The 22,964-nt window shown below is 52.5% G+C and overlaps 2 protein-coding genes across 47 annotated transcripts in view, besides 4 other annotated features; both read left to right on the top strand.

Annotated features, from left to right (window-relative positions):
- The window catches only part of HPS1 (HPS1 biogenesis of lysosomal organelles complex 3 subunit 1), a 32,988-nt gene extending 16,131 nt beyond the window's left edge, over positions 1-16,857 (top strand). For 13 of the 29 annotated variants that reach the window (XM_047425149.1, XM_047425147.1, NM_001322483.2 and 10 more), the window contains 13 exons: positions 135-234; positions 916-1,014; positions 1,163-1,232; positions 3,541-3,590; positions 4,820-4,987; positions 5,085-5,264; positions 6,431-6,492; positions 6,918-7,052; positions 7,137-7,202; positions 8,292-8,436; positions 10,647-10,760; positions 12,548-12,630; positions 13,079-14,607. In XM_047425149.1, coding sequence (XP_047281105.1) covers positions 135-234; positions 916-1,014; positions 1,163-1,232; positions 3,541-3,590; positions 4,820-4,987; positions 5,085-5,264; positions 6,431-6,492; positions 6,918-7,052; positions 7,137-7,202; positions 8,292-8,436; positions 10,647-10,760; positions 12,548-12,630; positions 13,079-13,241 — 1,435 coding nt within the window. In that variant the 3' untranslated portion in view covers positions 13,242-14,607. Of the gene's footprint in view, positions 1-134; positions 235-915; positions 1,015-1,162; positions 1,662-3,540; positions 3,591-4,819; positions 4,988-5,084; positions 5,265-6,430; positions 6,493-6,917; positions 7,053-7,136; positions 7,203-8,291; positions 8,437-10,646; positions 10,761-12,547; positions 12,631-13,078; positions 16,074-16,509 lie in introns of those variants that run through there. The other 16 variants (NM_001322478.2, NM_001322485.2, NM_001322482.2 and 13 more) reach the window with 5 other exon arrangements.
- Positions 6,442-7,003: an enhancer, noted in NCBI's record as "H3K4me1 hESC enhancer chr10:100183559-100184120 (GRCh37/hg19 assembly coordinates)". NCBI's record gives its function as "activates a minimal SCP1, AML or CMV promoter by ChIP-STARR-seq in naive H9 embryonic stem cells {active_cell/tissue: H9 hESC(naive)}" and the evidence as "EXISTENCE:reporter gene assay evidence [ECO:0000049][PMID:30033119]".
- Positions 7,004-7,565: an enhancer, noted in NCBI's record as "H3K4me1 hESC enhancer chr10:100182997-100183558 (GRCh37/hg19 assembly coordinates)". NCBI's record gives its function as "activates a minimal SCP1, AML or CMV promoter by ChIP-STARR-seq in naive H9 embryonic stem cells {active_cell/tissue: H9 hESC(naive)}" and the evidence as "EXISTENCE:reporter gene assay evidence [ECO:0000049][PMID:30033119]".
- PYROXD2 (pyridine nucleotide-disulphide oxidoreductase domain 2) overlaps positions 15,623-22,964 on the top strand; it is a 31,615-nt gene continuing 24,273 nt past the window's right edge. For 11 of the 18 annotated variants that reach the window (XR_007062009.1, XR_007062008.1, XR_007062010.1 and 8 more), the window contains exons 1-4: positions 15,623-15,796; positions 18,068-19,630; positions 19,847-19,866; positions 22,808-22,901. Coding sequence is in view for 11 of the 18 variants with exons in the window: in XM_011540293.3 (XP_011538595.1) it covers positions 19,402-19,630; positions 19,847-19,866; positions 22,808-22,901 (343 nt within the window). In the remaining 7 variants the exon portion in view is untranslated. The other 7 variants (NM_032709.3, XM_017016835.2, XM_047425882.1 and 4 more) reach the window with 3 other exon arrangements.
- Positions 21,387-21,587: a silencer, noted in NCBI's record as "peak1064 fragment used in MPRA reporter construct". NCBI's record gives its function as "represses an SCP1 promoter by STARR-seq MPRAs in K562 erythroleukemia cells {active_cell/tissue: K562}" and the evidence as "EXISTENCE:reporter gene assay evidence [ECO:0000049][PMID:32103011]".
- Positions 21,594-21,793: an enhancer, noted in NCBI's record as "active region_3867". NCBI's record gives its function as "activates an Ori minimal core promoter by ATAC-STARR-seq in GM12878 lymphoblastoid cells {active_cell/tissue: GM12878}" and the evidence as "EXISTENCE:reporter gene assay evidence [ECO:0000049][PMID:35858748]".

Below are 22,964 nucleotides of genomic sequence, written 5' to 3'. Positions count from 1 at the left end.
TATTTGTGCCTTGCCCATCTCCAGAAGTACATTGCTCCTTGAGGGCAGGGGCCAGGCTCCACACTCCTTTAACCTGCCTGCCCCGTCTCCTGCTGGGCATGTGCTGATGGGTGGCCATGCTCCTGTGTCTGCAGCCACAGTGCCAGCTCCCTGCGCCCGGCCGACCTGCTTGCCCTCATCCTCCTGGTTCAGGACCTCTACCCCAGCGAGAGCACAGCAGAGGACGACATTCAGGTCTCAGGGCAGCTTTCTGGGCAGAGGGAGGCCATTAGGGAGGTAGTTCAGAAAACCTGCCTGAAGATGGTGGGCAGGCTCCCCCTGGGGACTCCATGTTTTCTAAGTCACAATTCTGGGTGTGTGGTTGGGCGTGACTTCTTTCCCACTGCTTTCAGATGTAAGGGGAATTCTGGAGTGCACATGGTCCAGTGGGTTAAAAGTGCAGATTTTTCAAGTCAGCCATGGTTCGAAACCCAGCTTCAACACCTGGCTGTGTGAGCTGAGCCCGTACTTGCACCCCCAGAGCCTCAGTGCCCTTATCTGTGCAATGGGAATAACAAAGCATCTACTTCTCAGGGGTATTTGGAGGGACAAAAGGGGTGGTTCCCACAGAACCTGGCACTGCCTGGGGCATAGTGAATGCTTAGTGAGTGTCAGCCACCACCATCGCTGTTGACCTCATCACCAGGGGTAGTGGTGGGTTGGATACCATTGTGTTGGAATTTCTCGAATTTCCACAGAACAGACCGCCTAGAATCGAATCCCTGGGAAGTCTGAGGACCACACACCCAGGACTGCACCCGGAACGGGTGGAGGGGTGGAGGGGTGGAGGCTTCTCTGTGAAGCGCTGGGAGGCAGAAGGGGTGGAGGGAGCCAGGTCAGATAGGAGCTAACCAGCCTCTCCCCTGCCCTGCACAGCCTTCCCCGCGGAGGGCCCGGAGCAGCCAGAACATCCCCGTGCAGCAGGCCTGGAGCCCTCACTCCACGGGCCCAACTGGGGGGAGCTCTGCAGAGACGGTGTGTGCTGTGCACTTCGTGGAGTCAGGGGCAGGAGGGGATCGGCCTCTGCAGGCGACCAGGCCTTTCCCATCCCTCCTGGGAGAGCAGGGACAGGGTTGAGCCAGCTGGGAGAGCCTCTCAACCTGAGCCACCTTCTCCATTCCAGGAGACAGACAGCTTCTCCCTCCCTGAGGAGTACTTCACACCAGCTCCTTCCCCTGGCGATCAGAGCTCAGGTGAGGACCGGAGGAAAGCAGGAGGAAACAATAGCTAGCTGCGAGCGACAGGCAGCCCAGGACATCTGTCTTAGGCTCCAGTGGACCCCCGTGCCTCCTAAGGCTTGAGTGCAGGTACCCGTGTTCCTAGAGCACAGGACGCTGTCTGCGGCTCCCCATCTTCCCTGCCAGCTCCAGCCTGAACTCAAGGATTGTTAAGACCACTCCACTGATCCCTAAAGCTGTTGATGACAAGTTGATTCATTTAAAACTTCTGTACATGCATTCTCAGACTCATCTTTTTTGTAATTAAAATTAAAAATTAAGTTAAATTTAGTAATAATCATCTAATTTCTATACATTCTAAAATATATTCAGCATCTGTAGTTTATACTTTGTTTCTCCAAAGTATGTGGGTAAACAATAAAAAAAAACTATAAATATTCAAAATGGTTGAGGTGTGGTGGCTCACGCCTGTAATCCCAGCACTTTGGGAGGCCGAGGCGGGTAGATCACCTGAGGTCAGGAGTTTGAGACTAGCCTGGCCAACATGGCGAAACCCCATGTCTACTAAAAATACAAAAATTAGCCAGGTCTGGTGGCAGGCGCCTGTAATCCCAGCTACTCGGGAGGCTGAGGCAGGAGAATCGCTTGAACCCGGGAGGTGGAGGTTGCAGTGAGCCAAGATCATGCCACTGCACTCCAGCCTGGGCGACAGAGCAAGACTCTGTCTCAAAAAAAAAAACAAAACAAAACTACAAATATTCAAAATGTTAACAAAAAATGGACAACCTTGCTTAGAGAAGTAGATAAACCAAAATCCAGACTGTTGTGGTCACTATGAATAAACATTACATTTATTTCTGAAGTTCTTAGGTAAAAAAAAAAAAAAAAAAGGGTCCTGTGGTCCCTCCACATCATCTGATGGAAGAAAGAAGGCCAGGGTTTCAGGAGGAGAAACCTACTGGGGACTAGGATTTGAAAGGAATTTATTATGTGGCTGCTTTTAACCCAACCCTGGCACATTGGAATCACCAGGCAGCTTCAGCCAGCCCAATTAAGTTACAGTCTGTGGGCCTGGGACCCAGGTGTGAATACTTCTAGGAAATTTTCCCAGGTGAGTTCAGTGTGCCTCGGGTGCAAACCACTGCTGTGCACAGATTTAGGTTACAGCATGCTTTGCCCCCTGGCTGCATATTGAACTCACCTGGGGATCTTTAACAATTATTGAAGCTGAGCCTGTACCCGGAGATGCTGACTCAGTTGGTCTGAGCTATGCCCTGGGCGTCAGGATTTTGTAAAAGTCCCCAAATGATTTTCGTGTGTAGCCAAGGTTGACAACCACTGGGTTAGATGCTTTTAACTTTAGGTCTGGCTAGAAGCCTAGGACCCCCTGAGACTGTGTGTGAACTCACTGATGCCTGTGCATTCCTGGGGTGAGGGTTCCTAGCTATCTTCAGATTCCCTGAGCTCTTGATGAGCCTGAGACCTGTTGAGAAGCAGAGTTCTGGGTAATCTCCGAAGTTCCTCTTACCACTCCCTTCCTCATTCATCACCATCTTCCTCCCAGTCCCTCTCTCTTGATAGTGGTTTTTTATGCCTTAAAACTGTAAAAAATAATGCTGTTCCACCGTGCAGAGAACTCACAACTTACAAATGGTTTGGGTTGCACTCATCCATTTGTAAATCAGGTGTTTAAGATGTAGGAACACACTTCCCCCAAAGAAACATGATTATAAATGAGGGTTGTTTGCAATGAAATATAAGAGGTAACAGTATTATTACAGACACATAATATTTCAGATATGTGGTGGGTTCAGTAGGTTTTTGTGCGTTATATTAGGAAGGAAATCCACCTCAATTCCCAGCACACAGCAGGTGCTCAGTAAGAGCTTGCCGGTTGAATAAATGAATGGGCAAACGTGGACTGTGTGTGCTGACTCCTGAGGGGCGGGTTGAGGCCTGAAGGAATACAGGGGACAGAACAAGGAGGGGATTGGGGGCAAGGGAGGGGGGAGGAAGATGCCCCTCTACCCCCTGACCACCATTACCAAACATGTCCTCAGGAGCTTGATTCTCAGCAGCTGGCTCTGGGGGCAGCTTCTCTGCCAGGCCCAGGCCGCCTTAGCCCTGGTACTGCAGAGTTCACCTTGTGCCTGCCAACTTAGGATGAAGGGGTGTTGCCCCAGCCACATTAGCACCCCTGCGTGGAGCTGGCAGCCAAGGGCTGAGGTTGTGGGGGGCACCTGGGCCCCCTACCCCATGCTGTTGAGCCATTGCTTACATCTCATGGTACTTACATCGTTATGTTATTACCTGTGGCCTGCAGGTAGCACCATCTGGCTGGAGGGGGGCACCCCCCCCATGGATGCCCTTCAGGTGAGTTTCTCCTGTGCCTGCCTGGGCGCCAGCTGATCTGAGATGCCGCAGTGAGTATTGGGGGCTCTGAGGGTTTCGCCTCCAGGGTGACTCTACCCGTGCCAGCCCTCCTCCTGCCCACCCCAGGGCTGGTCAGTGCAGGTGCCTGTCCTGGTGCCAGAGCTCAGCCCAGAGGCAGGGTCCAGGAATGGGCTGTGAGGGGTGGCGAACTTGCCCCTCCCCTCCCCCAGGTGCTGTCCCTCAGCTCCATTGTTCTTGGGAGTGAAAGTCCAATAGAATTTTTTTTTTAAGTGAGCATGTATATTTATTGTAGAAAAATCGGGAAATACAAAAGTAAACTATAAAAAAGGGAATAAAAATTACTCTTAATCCCGTCCTCAAAATGAGATTAACATCTTGGGGTGTTTCCTTCTAGTCTTTTTTTCCTATGACTTTACACACACACACACACACACACACACACACACACTACATATGTACACATGTGTATTTTTAAAATCAGATTTGGATACTAACGTGTTTCATTATACTTTTTTATTTAAACATTTTTCCATTTCCTAAGCACTCCCACAGTGTGGTTTGTAATGATTGGTAGTCCATCACATGCATATGTTATTTATCTAGCAAATCCCCAGGAAAATCGCGTCATGTGTCCAGTGTTTGCTGTTAGGTATGACACTGAAGAGGAATTTTTGTGGCATCTCTCATGATTTCCTTAATTCTATAATTTTTTGCACTAAAGGCTTTCTTGCTTAGATCCCTCTGTAAGGCTGGAGCCTTGCCCATTTGGTCACTTTATGCCTCAGTTTCCCCAATTTGAGTGGCTGTTGGGATGTTCTGAGGGTGATTGAAATGATACAATGTTGAACATTAGATACCTCCATCTGTTGCAAATGTGGGGAGGGGACCTCTCCCCGTCCACTCCCCATCCACGAGTGTTTCCCTGCCTTCTCGGTCCTCTGTGCCACCACCCAGCCCCTCTGCCCCTGCCCACTGCCCTGCTTGGCACCCGGGCCAGACTCTGGGCAGAAAGGCCCAGGAGCAGCTGAGGGAGAGGGGCAACAGCGAAACTGGAGCTGCGAGGGCAGGTTCAGCAGAGTGCAGGAATTTAAAAACTGGAGTTTCTTGGAGCTAAAAATGATTATTTCTTGTGGTTCACAGATAGGGCCGCAATGGGTGGGTCCAACTTAGGGATCCCACCTCTCACTGCAGCTCTTCTTCCTCTGTAGATAGCAGAGGACACCCTCCAAACACTGGTTCCCCACTGCCCTGTGCCTTCCGGCCCCAGAAGGATCTTCCTGGATGCCAACGTGAAGGAAAGCTACTGCCCCCTAGTGCCCCACACCATGTACTGCCTGCCCCTGTGGCAGGGCATCAACCTGGTGCTCCTGACCAGGGTAGGAGAGCCCCTCACCCTGCCCTGATGATGCTTAGGGTTGGCACGTCTTCCCCAGGGGCAGCCCCGTTCACCCGCCTCTCGGCCCTTACCCTCAGAGCCCCAGCGCGCCCCTGGCCCTGGTTCTGTCCCAGCTGATGGATGGCTTCTCCATGCTGGAGAAGAAGCTGAAGGAAGGGCCGGAGCCCGGGGCCTCCCTGCGCTCCCAGCCCCTCGTGGGAGACCTGCGCCAGAGGATGGACAAGTTTGTCAAGAATCGAGGGGCACAGGAGATTCAGGTGAGACCCAAGTTCCAGTCCTCCCCACCTGGGGAAGAGGCAGGGCTGGCAGCAGGGTACATCCGGTCCACAGCAGCTGAGGGGCCAATGGGCCTGGGTTCCTGTCCGGGCTCCACCTCCCCCGGGCCTACGATCCTTGTTTTCCCTATTATGAAATGATATTGAAAACTTAGCTGCTTTTTGGTTTTCAGAATCTTTTTATGTGTGTTTGGCAGAATACGAATTATAATTCCCCTTTTTTAGGTGTGGAAACTAAGGCTTAGACAAGTTTTAACTTGGCCAAGATTATGCAGCTCATGAGCAGTGGAGCCAGAGCCCGGATGCAGTGAGCAAGTGCAGTCGGGATCCGCCCGTCACGGGCTTCCTCTCTGCAGCGGGGCTGTGTCCCCGGGCTCACAGGGCAACACAGGGATGTGCAGGTCACGGCTCCACCCCACCCCCAGTGAGCTTAGGGCCCAGGTGGGGAGCTGAGACCAGGAGACAGGTGAGAATGTGCAGGCAGTAGAAACAGTCCATCACCCCGTGCTCTGACAAAGCCCAGATCAGGGCCTGGACGGCAGTGGGGCTGGTGGGGCTTGACTCTGGATTTAAGCAGTGGAGGCGCCTGGTGTTTGAGGAGCTGGGACCCATTGTGGCTGGAGTGCCTGTCAGTCTGAAGGCTGCAGGATTGGCTGGAGGAGGCAGTGCCACATCCCGCAGTGCCTCAGGGTGTCCTAAGGAGCACTTTCACTAGAACACCAAGTTCTTCTGCTTTATAGAGATCCCGTGAGGCCGCCCCCTGCATGGCTACCCCATGCCCACCCCATACCCTCCCAGCTTCTGCAGCAGCACCTCCTCCGCACACCCCAGCCGCTGCCCTGTGTGTGCCCCCCACCCCGAGGGGCTGGCCTGGTTGCTGTGACGGTGCTACTATGTGTGCCTGTGCCCGTCAGACAGCGAGCCCCTGGAAACTGCCCTTTAAATAAACGCTGCTGAGTGACTAGAACATGGCACACTGAAGTCTGCAGGGGGCTGGTGGGGCCTGCCAGGGTAGCCTGCATTGGCCAGAAGGGCAGATTTGTCTGGGGGCCCTGTGCCCTCTCAGAGCCTGATCTGAGAAGGACTTTGGCCTGGACCTCACTGGAAATATGGTCGGGATGCAAACCTGCCCCCTGTCTTCCTTCCAGAGCACCTGGCTGGAGTTTAAGGCCAAGGCTTTCTCCAAAAGTGAGCCCGGATCCTCCTGGGAGTGAGTGGTGGGCCTCAGGACAAGGGGTGGGTCGTGTGCCCAGGGGACTGTTCCCTGGGAGGCCACATCTCCTCCACCACTGCCCTTCATTTATCAGCAAAATAATTTCAAGAAAGGAGATTTCTTCCCACATACGTGGAGCACCGCGTGGAGAAGCTGGGAAGCTCCTTCCCATTGCCTGATCAGCTGTGGCTGCCCCCTTAGGTCTTTCCATCTGTCTGTCCTGGGTGCAGGAGCAGGGTGGTCCACCTGGGAGTGAGGGGCTCCCCAGGTTGGTCTGTCCTGGGTACAAGAGTGGGGTGGTCCACAAGGGGGAAGGGCTCCCCAGGTCTGTCTGTCCTGGGTGCAGGAACAAGGTGGTCCACACAGGGCGAGGGGCTCCCCTAGGTCCCTTCTGCTGTAATGCCCTCCTCTCTCGTGCTCAGGCTGCTCCAGGCATGTGGGAAGCTGAAGCGGCAGCTCTGCGCCATCTACCGGCTGAACTTTCTGACCACAGCCCCCAGCAGGGGAGGCCCACACCTGCCCCAGCACCTGCAGGACCAAGTGCAGAGGCTCATGCGGTAAGTGCAGTGCGGCCCCCTGGGTGGCCAGGGCAGGGTCTGGGGCCCGTACTTCCTTCACGCAGCCCGAGCTTCCCTCGGCAGGGAGAAGCTGACGGACTGGAAGGACTTCTTGCTGGTGAAGAGCAGGAGGAACATCACCATGGTGTCATATCCTGACGCCGGGGCCCCAGCCAGCCCAACAAGCCTCTTGGATCTGCTGCCTCTACACCTGCTCCCTGGAGGGACTATGGGCCCCAGGGAAGGGGGATATATGTTCCACCCCATCAGCTGCTCACCACCTCTCTGAAGGAAAATAATGGGACATAGTGGCCCATGTGCCTTGTCTATAGGAATACTTCAAGCTGAAATTTCAGGAATTCCTCCTGTCCCAAAGTTAATTCACAAAAGCCATAAAGACCCTTTATGTCAGTGTTGCCCAGCTGGCAAAATGGTAGTAGGTATTCCACGAGGGGTGGGGACCGGGGGGGGGGTTCCTGTGGTCTAGTTTGGTTGAAAGGGCCGTTGTCCTTCTTAGATCATGACAGTGCACAGTGGCATGTAAAAGCTCTAGAAGGCCTACGGCAAATGTTTATCCCTGTTTCAGAAGCCATTCCTAAGACTATTTGACCCTTTTATTATGGAACACTAATTTTATCGAATACTGATTTTCCATGAAAATTCATGTAAAGCAGCTTTTCCCATATCATCTCTGAAATGTCCAGCCCCCAGTCTCCTGAGGCAGGTCCTCAGTGGGCAGGTGAAAGGATGCCAGAGGGCCTCTTTAGCCACCAGCTGCTGCCCTTCTATGGATGTCTCTTCCCCTCCCAAATGGGAGCCTTCCAAACTCTCATGATGAAGTGTAAGGGTTTAGCAAGATCACAGTGAGGTGCATAGGCTGGGCAGTCAGCTAGGCTCACTCATGAACCAAGTGGCTGTGCTCACACTCCAGCCTCACGTGTGTCTGACTTAAATTCATCCCTCATGAAAATGATGCATACCATGTTCCTGTAGGGCCAGAACTGCCCGTGTCAAATGTGCAAGTGTTGAGGATCTTACAGCTTTTCAAGGCCTGGGGAGCTTGGAGGTAGTGGGGGATCTGAGGAAGCAAGGATACAGGGGGCTTAGCTGAAATGGAAGCTGCTGGAAAGAGGCAGTCCTGGCCCTCCTGCCACCATGACTGGGCACAGCTAGAAGCCCAGGACAGAGGCAGGCCGTCCCTAGCTCCTGGCTTGTAAGCACCTTAACTCAGACCTTCACCTACCTAGAAGACTTCCCAGGCTTGGTGCACTTCATCTATGTGGACCGCACCACTGGGCAGATGGTGGCGCCTTCCCTCAACTGCAGTCAAAAGACCTCGTCGGAGTTGGGCAAGGGGCCGCTGGCTGCCTTTGTCAAAACTAAGGTAACCATTTGGACCCAGGGCGGGGATGGGTGGGCCTCAGCCAATATTGGGTAGCCCTTCCTGGTGTGATCCACATGCCTGGGGCTAGCAGAGTGCGCTGGGCAGCAGGCCCAAGGAGGCAGTGGCCAGTGCCGGCATAAATAAATGCTCGACAAGTATTTGTTGAATGAGCTAGAATGGAGAGAACGGCAAGGTCCATCAGTTGGGCATCAGAATTTAAAACAAGGTGATTTCTGTTAAGGAAGCATTCCCTGGAAATTCTTTTATTCTCCTTATTTAACTGACTGTTTTTCATGACAAAGTTGTATTTTTGATAGGGGGAGGACCCCTGCCACTCTCCAAAAAAACTATACGTGTGTGTGTGTGTGTGTGTGTGTGTGTGTGTGTGTCTGTGTGTGTGTGTTCTTTTCTTTCTTTGTTTTGGTGGGGGAGGCAAGTAAAGTGTATTCTAATGTTTAAAACAAGATGGGAAGATGGGTGGTGGAGGCATGTGTTGGAAGCCCAGCCCCGTCTCCCACCAGTTATGTGGCTTTGGGCAGTACTTAGCCCAAGGGTCAGTTTCCTCATCTGTAGAAGGAAATAATAGTGCTATTTACATCACAGAGTTATGAAGAGTACATGAGAGGATACGTATCAAATATTTAGCATAGCACGTAGCACAAAATACAGATACAGTTCATTCAGTACTTACTGGTGGCATCATCATCACCATCTTCATCCTTGCCCCTCATTCTGGAGACAGTTGGGGTTATCTTGGTACGTTTCTTTCTGTTGGTTTTCTGTGCAGTTTGTTGTAGTTGAGATCACTCTGTATGTGCAACTTTGCTACCATGTTTTCATTTCACATTATATCAGATGCTTTCCCTCATGCCATTAACTCTTTATAGACATGATTTTTAGCAGCTCCATAATAGTCCATCATGTGAATGTAACATAATTTATTGAACCATTTCCCTGATGTTTAGACATACAGATTATTTCTAGGCTTTTGCTGTTATAAATAATTCTGCAGTATACACCTTGCATACATCTGGGTCCCCATCTCTGATTATGTCCCCAATATGGATTCCTAGAAATGGAATTATTAAGTCAGATGGGAGGAATGTTTTTAAGATTATTGATGGATGTTGTCAAATTACTTTCCTGAAAAGTACAGTCAATCCATGGCAGATTTAATGAGTAATCACACGGCGATGCAGTTTGGAGCAGATCGCCTGTCCCTCCCGTTAAGGGTAGAGGAGAGGGCTCCTCGAGTCTCTTCCCAGCCCTGAGAGGTGGCAGAGAGCCCACTGTCCCTGCTGCCTTCCCTGGGGCACTTCACCGGCAGCACTGGTGACAGTCCCTGCGTCAGGCAGGAGGACATTCCCAGGGGAGCTAAGGCACGTGGTTTCTCAGGCCCTGTGTTTCCATCTGACCCCTTGGTGAACTCTGATTTGGACTTCCCCCCTGGCTCAGCACATCCTACAGGGTCACTCACCTGTGCCATCAGTTCCCAGCCTGAAGGGCACTAGGTGAGTGGGCGACCCCAGGCAGAGGAGGGGATTCAGGAGACCACACCTTGTTCTCCTGTGTTCATTAATGATGTCCCTGGCTATTCTCTGGCCTGAATGATCATTTCACTAATTTATTTTTTTTTTAATATTATTATTTTTTGAGACAGGGTCTCACTTTGTCACCCAGGCTAGAGTGCAGCGGCACAAGCACAGCTCACTGCAGCCTCGACCTCCTGGGCTCAAGCGATCCTCTCATCTCAGCCCCCCAAATAGCTGGGACTACAGGTGTGTGCTACCACACCCGGCTAATTATTTTGTATATTTTGTAGAGACAGGGTTTTGCTATGTTGCCCAGGATGGTCTCGAACTCCTGAGCTCAAGCAATCCACCTACCTCAGCCTCCCAAAGTGCTAGGATTACAGGCGTAAGCCACCACACTAGCCCAGTTCACTAATTTATGGCATATGTGTATAGTAAAGTTACACAAAGCTTTTTTACATATATTTTGCCCCCACGCTAACTGGAGGGTAGTCCATCCATCCAATAATGATTTATTGTTGAGCCTCCTGCTCTGAGCCAAGGCAGTGCCCGGGTACTAGGAGAGGCCCCTGGCACTCACGGAGCTTCTCGGCTGTGCCCTTTCCTTCCTTCGGAGGTGAGAGCTGCCCAGGCAGACCAAGGCTGGGAGAGTGGTGATGCTTGCTGTCTTTTCCCCAGGTCTGGTCTCTGATCCAGCTGGCGCGCAGATACCTGCAGAAGGGCTACACCACGCTGCTGTTCCAGGAGGGGGATTTCTACTGCTCCTACTTCCTGTGGTTCGAGAATGACATGGTAGGTGAGGCTGAGTCCCTGGGCCAGGACGGGCCACACACACTTCCCGCTCTGTAACTCTTGGATTCCTTTCTTCTGAATTGTTGTCTGTCTGTCTCATCTTCTCTTCTTGTTGCTGGTAAGCCCAGCAGGTTGGGAGCCAGAGTTCAGAGGTCACATTTTCACATGGGCGTTTAACTGCTTTGTGATCCCTCTGCCCAGCTGTCTGGCAAACTCTTGCCATTGTCCACGTGGCATCCAGGCACACATGTGAGCAGAAAGGCACATGCCCCACTGTGAGAAATGCGACTCAGACCACACACTTTGTCGCTAGTGCTTCCATGTCGCCAGCGTCACATGCCAAGTGTGGCACATGGTCATCCCTGTGGCATAGGCCCCTGAACTCAAGAGCATAGGCCCCTGCTTGAAGCAGTGAGCCAGGCTGCCTGAGGAGACACTGGTGGTGTGGCTCGGGGCCCTGGCCTCCAGGCCCTGCACTGCTTCTTCTGGGCCTCACTGTTACTGCAGAGTAGGGTCCAGTGGGGGGAGCTTACTATCATTGTGTCTCCATCCATACAACGGGGTCAGGGATCCCTGCCCCAGCCACTGCACAGGGCTGTGAGGGGTGCAGTGGCTGGGACTCCTCTCCTCCTGTCTCTCCCTCCTCTCTGTCTTTTCCCTTTCTTCGCTTTCCTCCTGTTTCTCTTTTATTTGCATCTCGCTTGTCACCATAAGTGGTTGTTCCAGCTCTCAGGAGTGGTTGTTCCAGCTCTCAGGAGTGTTCCTCCTCCCTCGCAGCCCTTGGTCTCTGGGTCCCTGCACTCCTGTGCCTTCCCCTGCCCCCACCCTGCACTCTTTGTTCACTGAGGGTGACAGCCATCCCTTTCCATAGGGCAGGGCGGTTACTGGGGCTCTCCACCACTGTTCTCTCAGTTACCCCCTCACAGCCCTGTAAAGTGGCTGGGGCAGGGATTCCTGACCCCGTTGTACGGATGGAGACACAATGATCCGGAGATCAGACGCCATGGCCAGGGCCACCGAGGCTGTAAGTGAGGAAGCCGGAGCCCAAGCTCTGCTCCCCCGGCCTGCAGGCTCCCAGCTTTCCTCCGTGCCCTCAGAAGTGCCCAGGACGTGTGTACAACAGAAGTGCTAGAAAATTCCTGTGACCTTTACCTTCACTTCTAGGGAGGGACAGGAGTCTGTGTGCTTGGGTGGCCCCGTGGGGTGATAAAGTGAGGCAGAGCTGTGGGCTGGAGAGGCCAGGTTTGAATGCCAGCCACACAGCCCAGCCGGTGCCGTGGGGGCAGCCCTGCACACTAGGGAGTCCACTCCCCCTGCAGGGCAGGCCACGGTGCCCAGGCAAGCATCAGCTAAGTGCCATGTTCATGCCTGGCACACACGGCACGTCCAGCAGATCTTAATTCCCTTCCCCACCTTATCCCACCCTGGGAATTCCCAATTCTTTCAGAGCAGAGGCTTGGGCCTTTTGTGAATGCTCTGCTCTTCAAGACCTGTATGACAGCCCTGCAGGGTGCCCTCCTGAGCGTGTGTTTGTGGCCTGTACAGGTCCAGGTATTGACGGTAATGAGAGCTACCCTGCCGGCCCTTGAAGCTTTGTATACTTTTTCTCTAATGTTCATAAGGTGACTGTTGTCATTCTGACTTCAAAGATGAAAAAACAAGGTCCAGGCATTTTCCCAAGCACCCAGCGCACATGACAGAGCCAAGCCAGGCCGCAAGCCCGGTGCGTCTGACTCAGGCCCTTGCACTACCCCCACACCCACTGCCTCCCTGTCCTCCCTCCTCAGGGGTACAAACTCCAGATGATCGAGGTGCCCGTCCTCTCCGACGACTCAGTGCCTATCGGCATGCTGGGAGGAGACTACTACAGGTGACGCTGCGTTGGGAGCCACTGGGGACAGATGCCCCCATTTGGGTGATAAGTGCTCGCCTCTGCCGGGAGCAGCTTCTGCTTCAGCAGTGCCCTACCTCAGACCCAGAAATCCACGCTGGGAACACCTTCCCGGCTGGCCCTGTGTGCAGCGAGGGAGGACGGGTGTGGAGGGTACATCTGTGTTCCTACCACCTTCCTGCTGGCATGGTCTTGGCAGCACGGGGAACGTCTGTGCCCGGCCCAGAACATCCCCACTGCTACCTCGTAGCCAGGATGCCACTGTTAGGTCAGTGAGGAACCGGAGCGGTTGTCAAGGCCCACATGCAGGGGCCTAGTGAGATGACCGAGGGCATGGGCATTTGCTTGCGAGGGCCCAGAGAGGCCTCTGGCGCTGGAGGAGTGCCACAGCCTCACTCCTGAATCCCATCCTCCCCTTCCTCCCCAGGAAGCTCCTGCGCTACTACAGCAAGAACCGCCCAACCGAGGCTGTCAGGTGCTACGAGCTGCTGGCCCTGCACCTGTCTGTCATCCCCACTGACCTGCTGGTGCAGCAGGCCGGCCAGCTGGCCCGGCGCCTCTGGGAGGCCTCCCGTATCCCCCTGCTCTAGGCCAAGGTGGCCGCAGTCTGCCTTTGCATCCTGTCCTCCAGCCACCCTTGCTTGCCACTGTTCCCCATGACGAGAGCCTCCTGTCTGCAGTGGCCATCCTGAGGATAGGGCAGAGTGCCCAGGGTGGCCCCAGGGCTTCTAAAACCCCACCTAGACCACCCTCCATGTCAGGTACTGAGCAAGGCCCCAGATCCTTCTCTCTGGAGGAAGAGGGAAGCCCAGGGGTCCTGTTTGTAAAACAACGGTGGCAACAGCTCCTCTTCCAGAGCTGCCTCTGCCTTTATCCTGGGAGATGGGGAGGAAGCCCCATCTCTGCTGTTCCCTGCGTGGAGGAAGCCCACCCAGCAAGCTCTCTCCTACCCCAGGTAAAAGGTGCTCCTTTGCCTGGGTTTGAATTCCAGCGCTGCCACTTCCTCTCTGCACCTCCTGGCAAGTTTCTTCTATTCCCCACGTTTAAAGCGATGGCACCTCCGTCCCAGGGTGGTGTGAGGATTACCCAGTGTGGTAGGTGCTCAATAAATGTTGGTCATTGTTATCACTGAAGCCCAACATGCTAGTGCTTCTAGACCCTTCTGTCAGTGCTGATAAGCCCTTGCTAAGTCCCAGCCCCTTCATGCTTGGCTGGCGTCTGCCCTAGGGCTGGGGTTCTCAAGCCCCTGGCCCTGGCCCAGAGATTTGGATTCCCTTGGCGGCCGTGGAGCCCAGCCTTTGATGTCTTTCAAAGCTTCTGTGGTGCGCCCTGGATTGAGAACCACCACCCGAGGGGTACAGCCCCTCTCTTCCAACCGAGAAGTTCCTGTCCCAGAATGGACCCAGGGACAAGAGACCCTGAGAGCCCTGGGACTGGGAGTGTCTGCTCCTCTGAGGCCAGGAGGCCGGTGCTGGGCCAGAGAGGACGGCGTGGCGAAAGTCAGCGTCCACTGCAGCACAGGATCAGATGGCCGTGTGCTGTGCATGCAGGAGCCTCGCCTTCTGTGTCTTTAGTCTTGAGCCAAAATTTGCTCAAAGACTGATCTCTTCCTTGCAGGGAACAGCTTTGGGGCTGGGGGAACTAGAACCCACATGTTGGTCTAAACCCTGAGAAGGTGGCAGTGAGGAAGTATCCCCTCAGGTGACTGGATCTGTGTTCCTCCTTAACATCATCTGATGGAATGGCAATGAAAAGCGTGGATTGTGGAAAATACAGAAAAACATAAAGGAAAAAACTCCAATCCCCTGAGCCCACCACTGTTCAGGACCCCTGCTTTTGTCACCTACTATTTCCCTTTAGTTTTTAGCAGCGGCTGGATGTGATATGTCTAGTTTAACCAGTCCCCTTGATCTTTCTATATAATAAATAACACAGGAGTGAACATCCTGAATCAGATCTTAGCAGAGATGCTCACATGCGGGGTAACTGTCCATGGTGTGTGGAGGGGTCCTCGGAACCCCCTCTTAGGATCATCTCCACATACTCTCCCAGTTCTGAGATTCGTTACCAATAGCAGGTTTCCGTCACACTGCGATATCAGAGCAGTGCAGGAACTCTCCGCTCCAAGGGGTTTTTTCCTCCTAGGGGAACACTCTGCTAAGTAATGGGCAGAGAACAAAGGGGCTCCTAATTCAAGGCAGGCCTAAGGGAGGGTCAGAAAGAACTTTAGCTGGAGGTATTTACAGATGTGACCTCGAATCCTTGGGGATTCTTGGAAAATGGGCAAGGTGCCAAAAGAGGAGAACTGGCCAGGCCTTCAAAACTAAAACACCAGAGAATTACAGACAGCGAACTTGCCCCTAAGCCCTCGTTGTGGGTTTGTGTTTGAGCATTTAGGAGAGGACTCCAGTGCTCCTCAGCGACAGACACAGCTGCCTCTGCGGTGTCTGAAGGCCCTGGTCGTGGTGACGCTAGATGGCCGCCCTGGGCGCCTCCTGTGGGCGTAGAGGCATCACCACTCTGCACTGGCAGACTCAGCATGGAGTTGGAGCAGAGTCTGACACGAGCACTTGCCATCCCAGGCGTTTCAGTTCTGACTGAGAAGGTAGATGCACAGGGGAGGAGAGGGCCCTTTCGAGCTCCACTCTGCCTCCACCACTCATTCCCTAACCCCGCAGCCTCAGCGCCCTCATCTGTAAAATGGGGAGTTTTGCCTACAGGGTTCAGCACAATGCCAGCCTGACATAGGAACCCCAGTGGATTGTCAGTTTTGCCATTATCCCCTGCATCCTGGAGGTGACACCGCCTGGTTAATAGGCAACACTCCCGACGGCCCAGCACAGCCCCAGGGCAGCAGGAGGCTGGCCTGTGGCCAAGAATGCATGGTGGAGGGGGCCTGGAGGGGGACTGCAGCTCCTCCTCTTCCTGCTTCCTCCCTGCTCCACCCCGTGCCTAGGGCAGCACAAAAGCCAATCGCTAGCAAACTCCCTGCCTAGCAAGGCCCAGCCTGGGGCAGAAATGGCTGCAAGTGGCCGAGGTCTCTGCAAGGCTGTGGCCGCCTCTCCCTTCCCGGCGTGGAGACGAGATAACACGGAAGCCAGGGGAGGTCTGAAGCCTGAGTATGATGCGGTGGTGATAGGAGCAGGTAAAGTGGTAAAGCAGGCCGGGCCAGAGCTGAGGGGCGGGAAGACAGCCCTGCTCAGAGCTTGGTGGGGAGGGGGAGGGGGAGCCAAGCCCCACTGCTCTCTCCTCTGGCATAACCCAGCCAGAAGTTTATACGCTAGCAGGGGCTGCAATGGAAAGCCCTTCCATCTGGCAGGCAGGCACCTGGGATTCCGGTGCTGGCTCTGCTGTGTGGCCTGGGGCAAATGCTTGCCTTCTCTGGGCTTGGATCTTCCCATGGAGAATGACAGGAAGACTAGGTGAGCTCAGGGGTTTCCCTATATCTCTTGCAAAGTGACCTAGTTTCCACCACATTCTCAGCCTATGGTTTGTAAGGGTTGGAAAGAGCCCTGGGCCAACAGACAAGTGAAATCCAGCACCCCGCCCCCTCAGTGCCCTGAGTTCTGGTCACCACTACCTTACCACTGAGGCCACCCCTCGTCACAAGAAACTGCAGTCATTTCATAAAGGCCAGTTAGGATAAAACAGAACTGAGTCCCAGAGTTCCTACTGCGTGTCTGCAGAGGGAGATGGACCCCATTGCCTTGCAGCTCTGGGACATTTGGGGATCTGCAGTGATCTGCCACACTTTGCCAACCCCTGGGCTCAGAGTATCACAGTCTACTGGGTGCTAGGGGAAGAGGCAGGCCCAGGACCAGGTGGTCTTTCCTTAGTGCCTTCCTTTCACACTTGCAGAGGGCCCCAAATGCATGATTGCCAACTGGGTCTATACAGAGATAATGACGGGACCGAAAGCAGACGGCACTCAACATGCAGCTTTGAGGGCATGCCTTCATTTTCATATGTACTAGAGCAGTTGCGAGCTGGTAGATACTCAACACTCACCTCTCCAGGGAAAAATGTGTGATGTATGTGTGTGTGTACATGTATATATATGTATATATACACACATATATGTGTATATATATGTATATGTGTTACGTACATATATATACACATATACACATGCTTATTTTAAATATTGAAATAAAAGATACACTGCACACAATTTTACAAATAAAGATACAATACTCTCAATTTAAATGCAGTCTACCCGAGTGATTCTTACCAAAGGCTTTCTTTGATTTTTGCCAAACTCAGTAGCCAACCTATAGTTGCAAATGACAAATGAGGGTAGCTCCAAAGAGAACGGTGCTCCATATTTTCTGTAAAGAGTAGGATGATCGTGAAACAAATGAAACAACAAAGATTTATGTCCCAACCTTACTCCTTTATTTTTTAAAATTTATTTTTATTTTATTTATTTATTCATTTATTGAGATGGAGTCTTGCTCTGTTGCCCAGGCTGGAGTGCAGCGGCGCAATCTCGGCTCACTGCAACCTCCGCCTCCTGGGTTCAAGCGATTCTCTTGCCTCAGCCTCCCGAGTAGCTGGGACTACAGGCGCCCACCACCACGCCCGGCTAATTTTTGTATTTTTAGTAGAGACGGGGTTTCACCATGTTGGCGAGGCTGATCTCAAACTCCTGGCCTTGTGATCCACCTGCCTCAGCCTCCCAAAGGGCTGGGATTACAGGTGTGAGCCACTGCGCCCGGCCTCCTTCTTTAAATGACAGGAATGATGTTACTCAAATAAGATAATATTGTTCTAATACTAGAATATTTCCTTCAATTTTTGTGCTATTTATTCATGCTATAACAGCTAACACTGTTAGGTTTAATCTGCATTATTAGCATTTTCCCATCACTTTCTTAAGCCTGACCACAAAAAATAAATTCAGCCCTTCTGTGTAATATTTGCTGATGACAGTGGTGTAAATACTCCCACCATAGCCTTTTCTGTTACCAAGATGAGGTTGCTCAATGTGATTTAGGAGAGATACCCAGTAGCACATCATTGTATAGTGTGTCCACCATGCAGATATGTACATAGAGGCCAGTGACTGCCAGGGCATGGGCAACAGTCAAATGTAGTAAAACAAATAGGAGGTAGTGTGTTTTGAGTATTTATTACCTTTGTTTTTAATTTATTTAATTGTAAGCTTATATAATTTAGTTTATATCAATGGCTGTTTGACAGCCGGCTCACAAACTCCCCGGGCTGGTGGGAGCCATCTCCAGCACCTCACTTAGCCTCAGAGAAGCCCCCTGCCTCCTTCCGTGCTCAGCCACAGCTCACCCTGCTGTCTCCTAATGGGGAAGGTTGACTTTAGGTCACCAGCTGCCTTGGTGACTTGCCTACAAGTGCGAGTGAGTCTCAGTGTGTGAGCTTTTCCTTGACATGATTTCTTTAGTTGCTAAACATACCATAAAGCCTGGTTTAAAGGCATCTTGGGCCTCAGTGAGGAACAGAACGGCATCTTCTGAGACAAGGGTTACCTCTGAGTCCCTGAAGGCACACTGGCACCTGGCCGCCACCTTGAAGATGAATCTCATTTAGTCATTTGACTAAATGTGCCTGAGAGTGACTGAGGGGGCTTGTTAAAATGGAGATTCCTGGCCCCATACCTGGTGACGAGCATTCTGAGGGCGGGAGGTGTCTCCCAGAGGTCAGCACATCCACCCAACCAACACTGCCTGATGCAGGCAGCTGCAGAGCCCACGCCCAGAGCAGCTCCTCAAGGGCCCAGGCGCCTGCTATGGGGCCCCTGAGGCAGGTCTGGGGATTAGCAGAGCCCGCAGCTGAAGTCCTCTTCAAGGGAACAGAGGTGTCACCAGAAGCCAAGGAGGGCTCAGCCAGGACTTGAGGGTGGTCACTGGGAGGGGGTCTTGTGCTTTGGATCCTTGACCTTACTCATTTGAGGTCTGCCATGATTGAACTGGACCCAGTTGCCTGGAAGACTATGAGTTTTCCAAGATCGATCATCAGCACCAATTAAAAGACAAATAGCTCCCATTTATCTCATCCTTGCCACACTGCAGGGTCCCTGGCACCCTCTGTTCCCCATGTGAAGAAACTCAAGGCTCAGGGCAGCTGATGACTCTCTGAGGTCATGCCCTGGCAAATAGCAGAGGCTGGGCTGAGCCCAGGACTGTCTGCCTTTAGTTTGCTGCATGTCTTTGAGAGACAGATTCCATCTGTTCATGAGTCCCACTGGCGGATTGTTTAAACTTTCTTATGAACATTTTCAAAAGCCCATACAAATAAAGAGTATGTCAACCAGCACTTTTTAAGATGAACTGTAACCAACTAGCTTCTCACATGCTTCTCATATGGTAAGAGTTAATTTTAGCTCATGAAACTTTTGGTTCTGTGAAACACCTGCTGAACAGACTCCTGGGAAGGGGGTCTGTGGGAGTCGACATTTATACAACCTTCCAGGTGATTCTGAGCTTATCAGAGCTGGAGAGGCACTTGCTACCCAGGGGCTTGGTGTGGAACGTGAGATGCCAAAGCCAAATTCAGGCCTCTCAGCTCAAGGCACCCTGAAGCACAGCTAGTCACTCCAGCACATGTTGAAGCTGTGCATGTTTACTTCATGTTGAACTGTTCATGTTTTATTTTTGGAACACTGGGGATTGGCAAAAAAAAAAAAAACCCATGTGAATAAAGCCTTCTAGGGCACCACTGTGCCGATTGTGAACCACACGTGGACAAAACAAGCCGCGCTTGATAGCAACTACCTACATGACCAGCACTCCCCTGGATGCTGATGCTGCCATGCGAGACGGGACGTTGGCGCAGCAGCATGCCAGCCACCCATTGCTTCTCCTGCTTGCCAACTCAACCGTGCTGCTCCCTCAGACACCATCACTTGCGCCTCCCAAGCAATGGAAGCCCTGGCGATGCTCTCATGAGCCCCTCACTCCAGCAGAGCCCCTGACCAAGCCAGGGGAGCAGGACTTTTCCAGCCAAGGCAAGAACCAGGGTTTTCTGACTCCTTGAAGATCTGGTGTTTCATGGAGTTGAACTAGATGCTGTTCCAACATCTGAGTGCGGGAAGGGGAGGGGAGGGTCACCAAGGATCTTCATGGCATGGGGACGGGCAGCGGGGAGCACATTCCTCAAGGACTGTCTGTCTGCCCGCCCGCTGACCAGTGATGTTTTCCTTCCCTGTCCCGTTTTGTTGCAGGACACAACGGACTGGTGGCTGTGAGTACCTCCCCACTTGATCCCACTTCACTGGCCCTGGGCGTGTGGCTCTCAGCAGCCTGGGAAGGAGTGTGAAGAAGCAGGTGGGATAAGGGCCTTGAGAGAGAAGGAAAAGGCAGCCTAGTCGATGCTCTCTGCTCTCCAGTGCTGACTGGGGGCTGGGTCGAATGCTCATCTGCAGCCAGCTGTGGACATCACAGGCTCCTTTCCTCCCCTTCCCCTAATGGGGAAAGGTGGTTTCCCCATGGCCTGTGAGGGAGTCAGGGAGCTTCCAGAAACAAGCTGACAAGGTGGGGAAGCATGTAACCAACACAGCATGAGAGCAGGTGGGAACCAGGGGATTGGGCACCTGGGGCGGGGTGGGGGCCCTTGACTCCAGATCATAGGCAGCCCTTGTGTCTAGAGCCCTGTGTTCCCAGCCAGGTCCAGGCCAGGTACCACCTTGGAGTACATAGCTGCTATGTGGCCAAAGTGTGCCCTGGAGACATTGAGGAGCTCAGTCTAGCAGAAGGGCCTGTGCCCTGTCCCCAACACAACTGACTTCAAGATCCCAAACTGAGCTGGATATCCCAGAGCTATCCTTAGCTTATGCTTCTGTAACCTGAGTCCAGATACCTCCAGGAGGCCACAGAAGGCATTCAAGGCCACAAAACAAATGTGGAACATCTTCTTGAAGCAGCAGCAGCTCTAGAACATCAATATAGGGGGAAACTGTGGCTGTGCTAACGGACTGATGTTAAACCTTAATACTTTGCCTGATGTCTAAGTTTTACTTGAACATTTTACGTGCGGCATTTTGTAACTCAATGGATCAGTAATTTAAAACATTTATTTTATTTTATTTTATTTTAATTTTTTTTGAGACGGAGTTTTGCTCTTGTCACCCAGGCTGGAGTGCAATGGCATGATCTCGGCTCGCTGCAACCTCTACTTCCCGGGTTCAAGCAATTCTCCTGCCTCAATCTCCTGAGTAGCTGGGATTGCAGGCAGCCGCCATCATGCCTGGCTAACTTTTGTATTTTTAGTAGAGACGGGGTTTCGCCATGTTGGCCAGGCTGATCTCGAACTCCTGATCTCAGGTGACCCGCCTGCCTCAGCCTCTGAAAGTGCTGAGATTACAGGCGTGAACCACCACGCCCGGCCTGATTTTATATTAATATAAACAAAGATTCATCTCCCAGCTCTGCCACTTTGTGAAGGTTAAGGTGTCACTTAGCCTCTCCGAGTCACGGTAAAATGGAACAATGGCACCTGCCCTCACAGAGCTGCTGTGAAGGTAATAGATCATTTGCTGCTAGGACCTGGCACATGCAGCCTTGCCCAAATGGTGGCTGTTATTACTGGAAGTTTCCAGGCCAAGGAAGGCTGGCATCCACAGCCCTTCACCCAAAGCCCACCAGGAACACACTTGTAGTTAGTCTAGTTTGGTTTCTTGCTCTTTGCAGCGAGGGAACTCACATCAGGGGAACCTCGGGTTGCCTCAGTAGGAAGGTGTTAGAAAGAACCTAGCACAGGATTTGAGCTTTGGTGATTTGAGGGAAGGCCTACGAAAATAGGGGTTGCCACAGATTAGATACTGTCAGGAAGGAGGGACAGCCCTGCAACTGGGCAGCTCAAGAAATCTGATCTGTAGGGAGGAGAGACGAGTGTGCAGAGAGCAGTAATTGATAAAGAAGTAGCAGTCACTCATTTCAGCCAAGAGGGGTGTTCGGTATTTTCTGGATGGCACAGAGACATTGCTTTTGTTTGTGCTTGCCTCATTTTATCATAGTCTCATAGAAACCTTATTTGAGGTTGTCAATCTGTGAGATCGTTCCTGTGTAATAGGAGAATGACGCAGCTCACCTTGCGTGCCAGGCCTCAGCCACTGAGTGACAGCTGCTGTTTCTTTCTCAGTAGGTTATGATAGGAGGTTATGTTAGGAGGATAGATGCTGGTTTCACGCTGTCTGGTTTCAATTCCCAACACCTCTACTCATCAGCTCTGTGAGCCTGAGGCAAGCTGTTAACCTCATTGGGCCTCAGTCTTCTCATCTGTAAAATGGGAGAATCATAGTACCTACCTCTTGGCTGGTGGGAAAAATTAAACAAGACAATGTACTCACTGCTTCTGGCACATAATAGCTGCCAAGTGAGCTTTTTGAAAAGTCCGACTTTTGCATGGCACCATTCCTGTGGTCACAGGGCCAGCATTTTAGATCGGTAGATTCATGACCAGTTTGGTTCAACAAATATTTATTGATTTTTCCACTAAGTGCTAGAAAAAAATTAATAGAAATCCTTGCATCATTTGTTCTCCCAAAATAAAGCTCTGCTATGAACCGCTTCATTTACTGAGTACATTCTCTGTGCCAGGGACCACTTAAACCCTGTCTAGGAACCAGCTCAGTTAATCTTCACAGCAGCCTTATGAAGTGGGTAAAGCCGGGACTACTTTCATCAGCCCCACTTTTGCATGTGAACAAACTGAGGCCAGACGGATCAGGTACTGAGGCTGCAGCAGCAGAGAGAGAACGAGGGACTGAACCTGGGTGGAAGGGTCAGCATTCACAAGTTCCACCTCACTGTGCTGCGCTTGTAGGAGAAATGAGGCTGGCTCCCTGCCTGGAGGAGAGCGACATCCCAGGGCAGGGTGGCAGGAAGCAGCGTGAGTCCCCGAGGCACCAGGCCTCTAAGGAGGGAAGACCACTTTCAGCTGGGAAGTGGAGGGGCGGGAGCAGGCCTGTCGGATCTTAGAGGACATCTAGAAAAGGCGAGGGTGGAAAGGGAAGCACAGGGAAGGGCATTCCCAGAGGCAGGAACAGCATGAGCGGGGCAGGGAGGCCATGGGGTGTGGCCCATACTGGCCTATAGTGAGGACCTTAGTCTGCGGGTCAGCCCGAGGGAGCCCTGACATTTCAGAGGGATAAAGGGAGGGCCCTGTGTGCTGCCCCACTTCCCAGGCAGCGTACCTGCAGAGACTGGGGGTGAACACCGCCGTCTTCGAGAGGCGCCATGTGATCGGGGGTGCAGCTGTCACTGAGGAGATCATCCCAGGTGAGCTCTGATGTGGCATGGGGGAGTGGAGGGCAGTGACTCAGGGTGACAGTCTCCATCCCT

This window comes from Homo sapiens, chromosome 10 (assembly GCF_000001405.40).
Source record: "Homo sapiens chromosome 10, GRCh38.p14 Primary Assembly".
NCBI lineage: Eukaryota > Metazoa > Chordata > Mammalia > Primates > Hominidae > Homo > Homo sapiens.
Note: the sequence above shows the minus strand (reverse complement) of the source record. Positions and strands in the feature narration are given on the sequence as shown.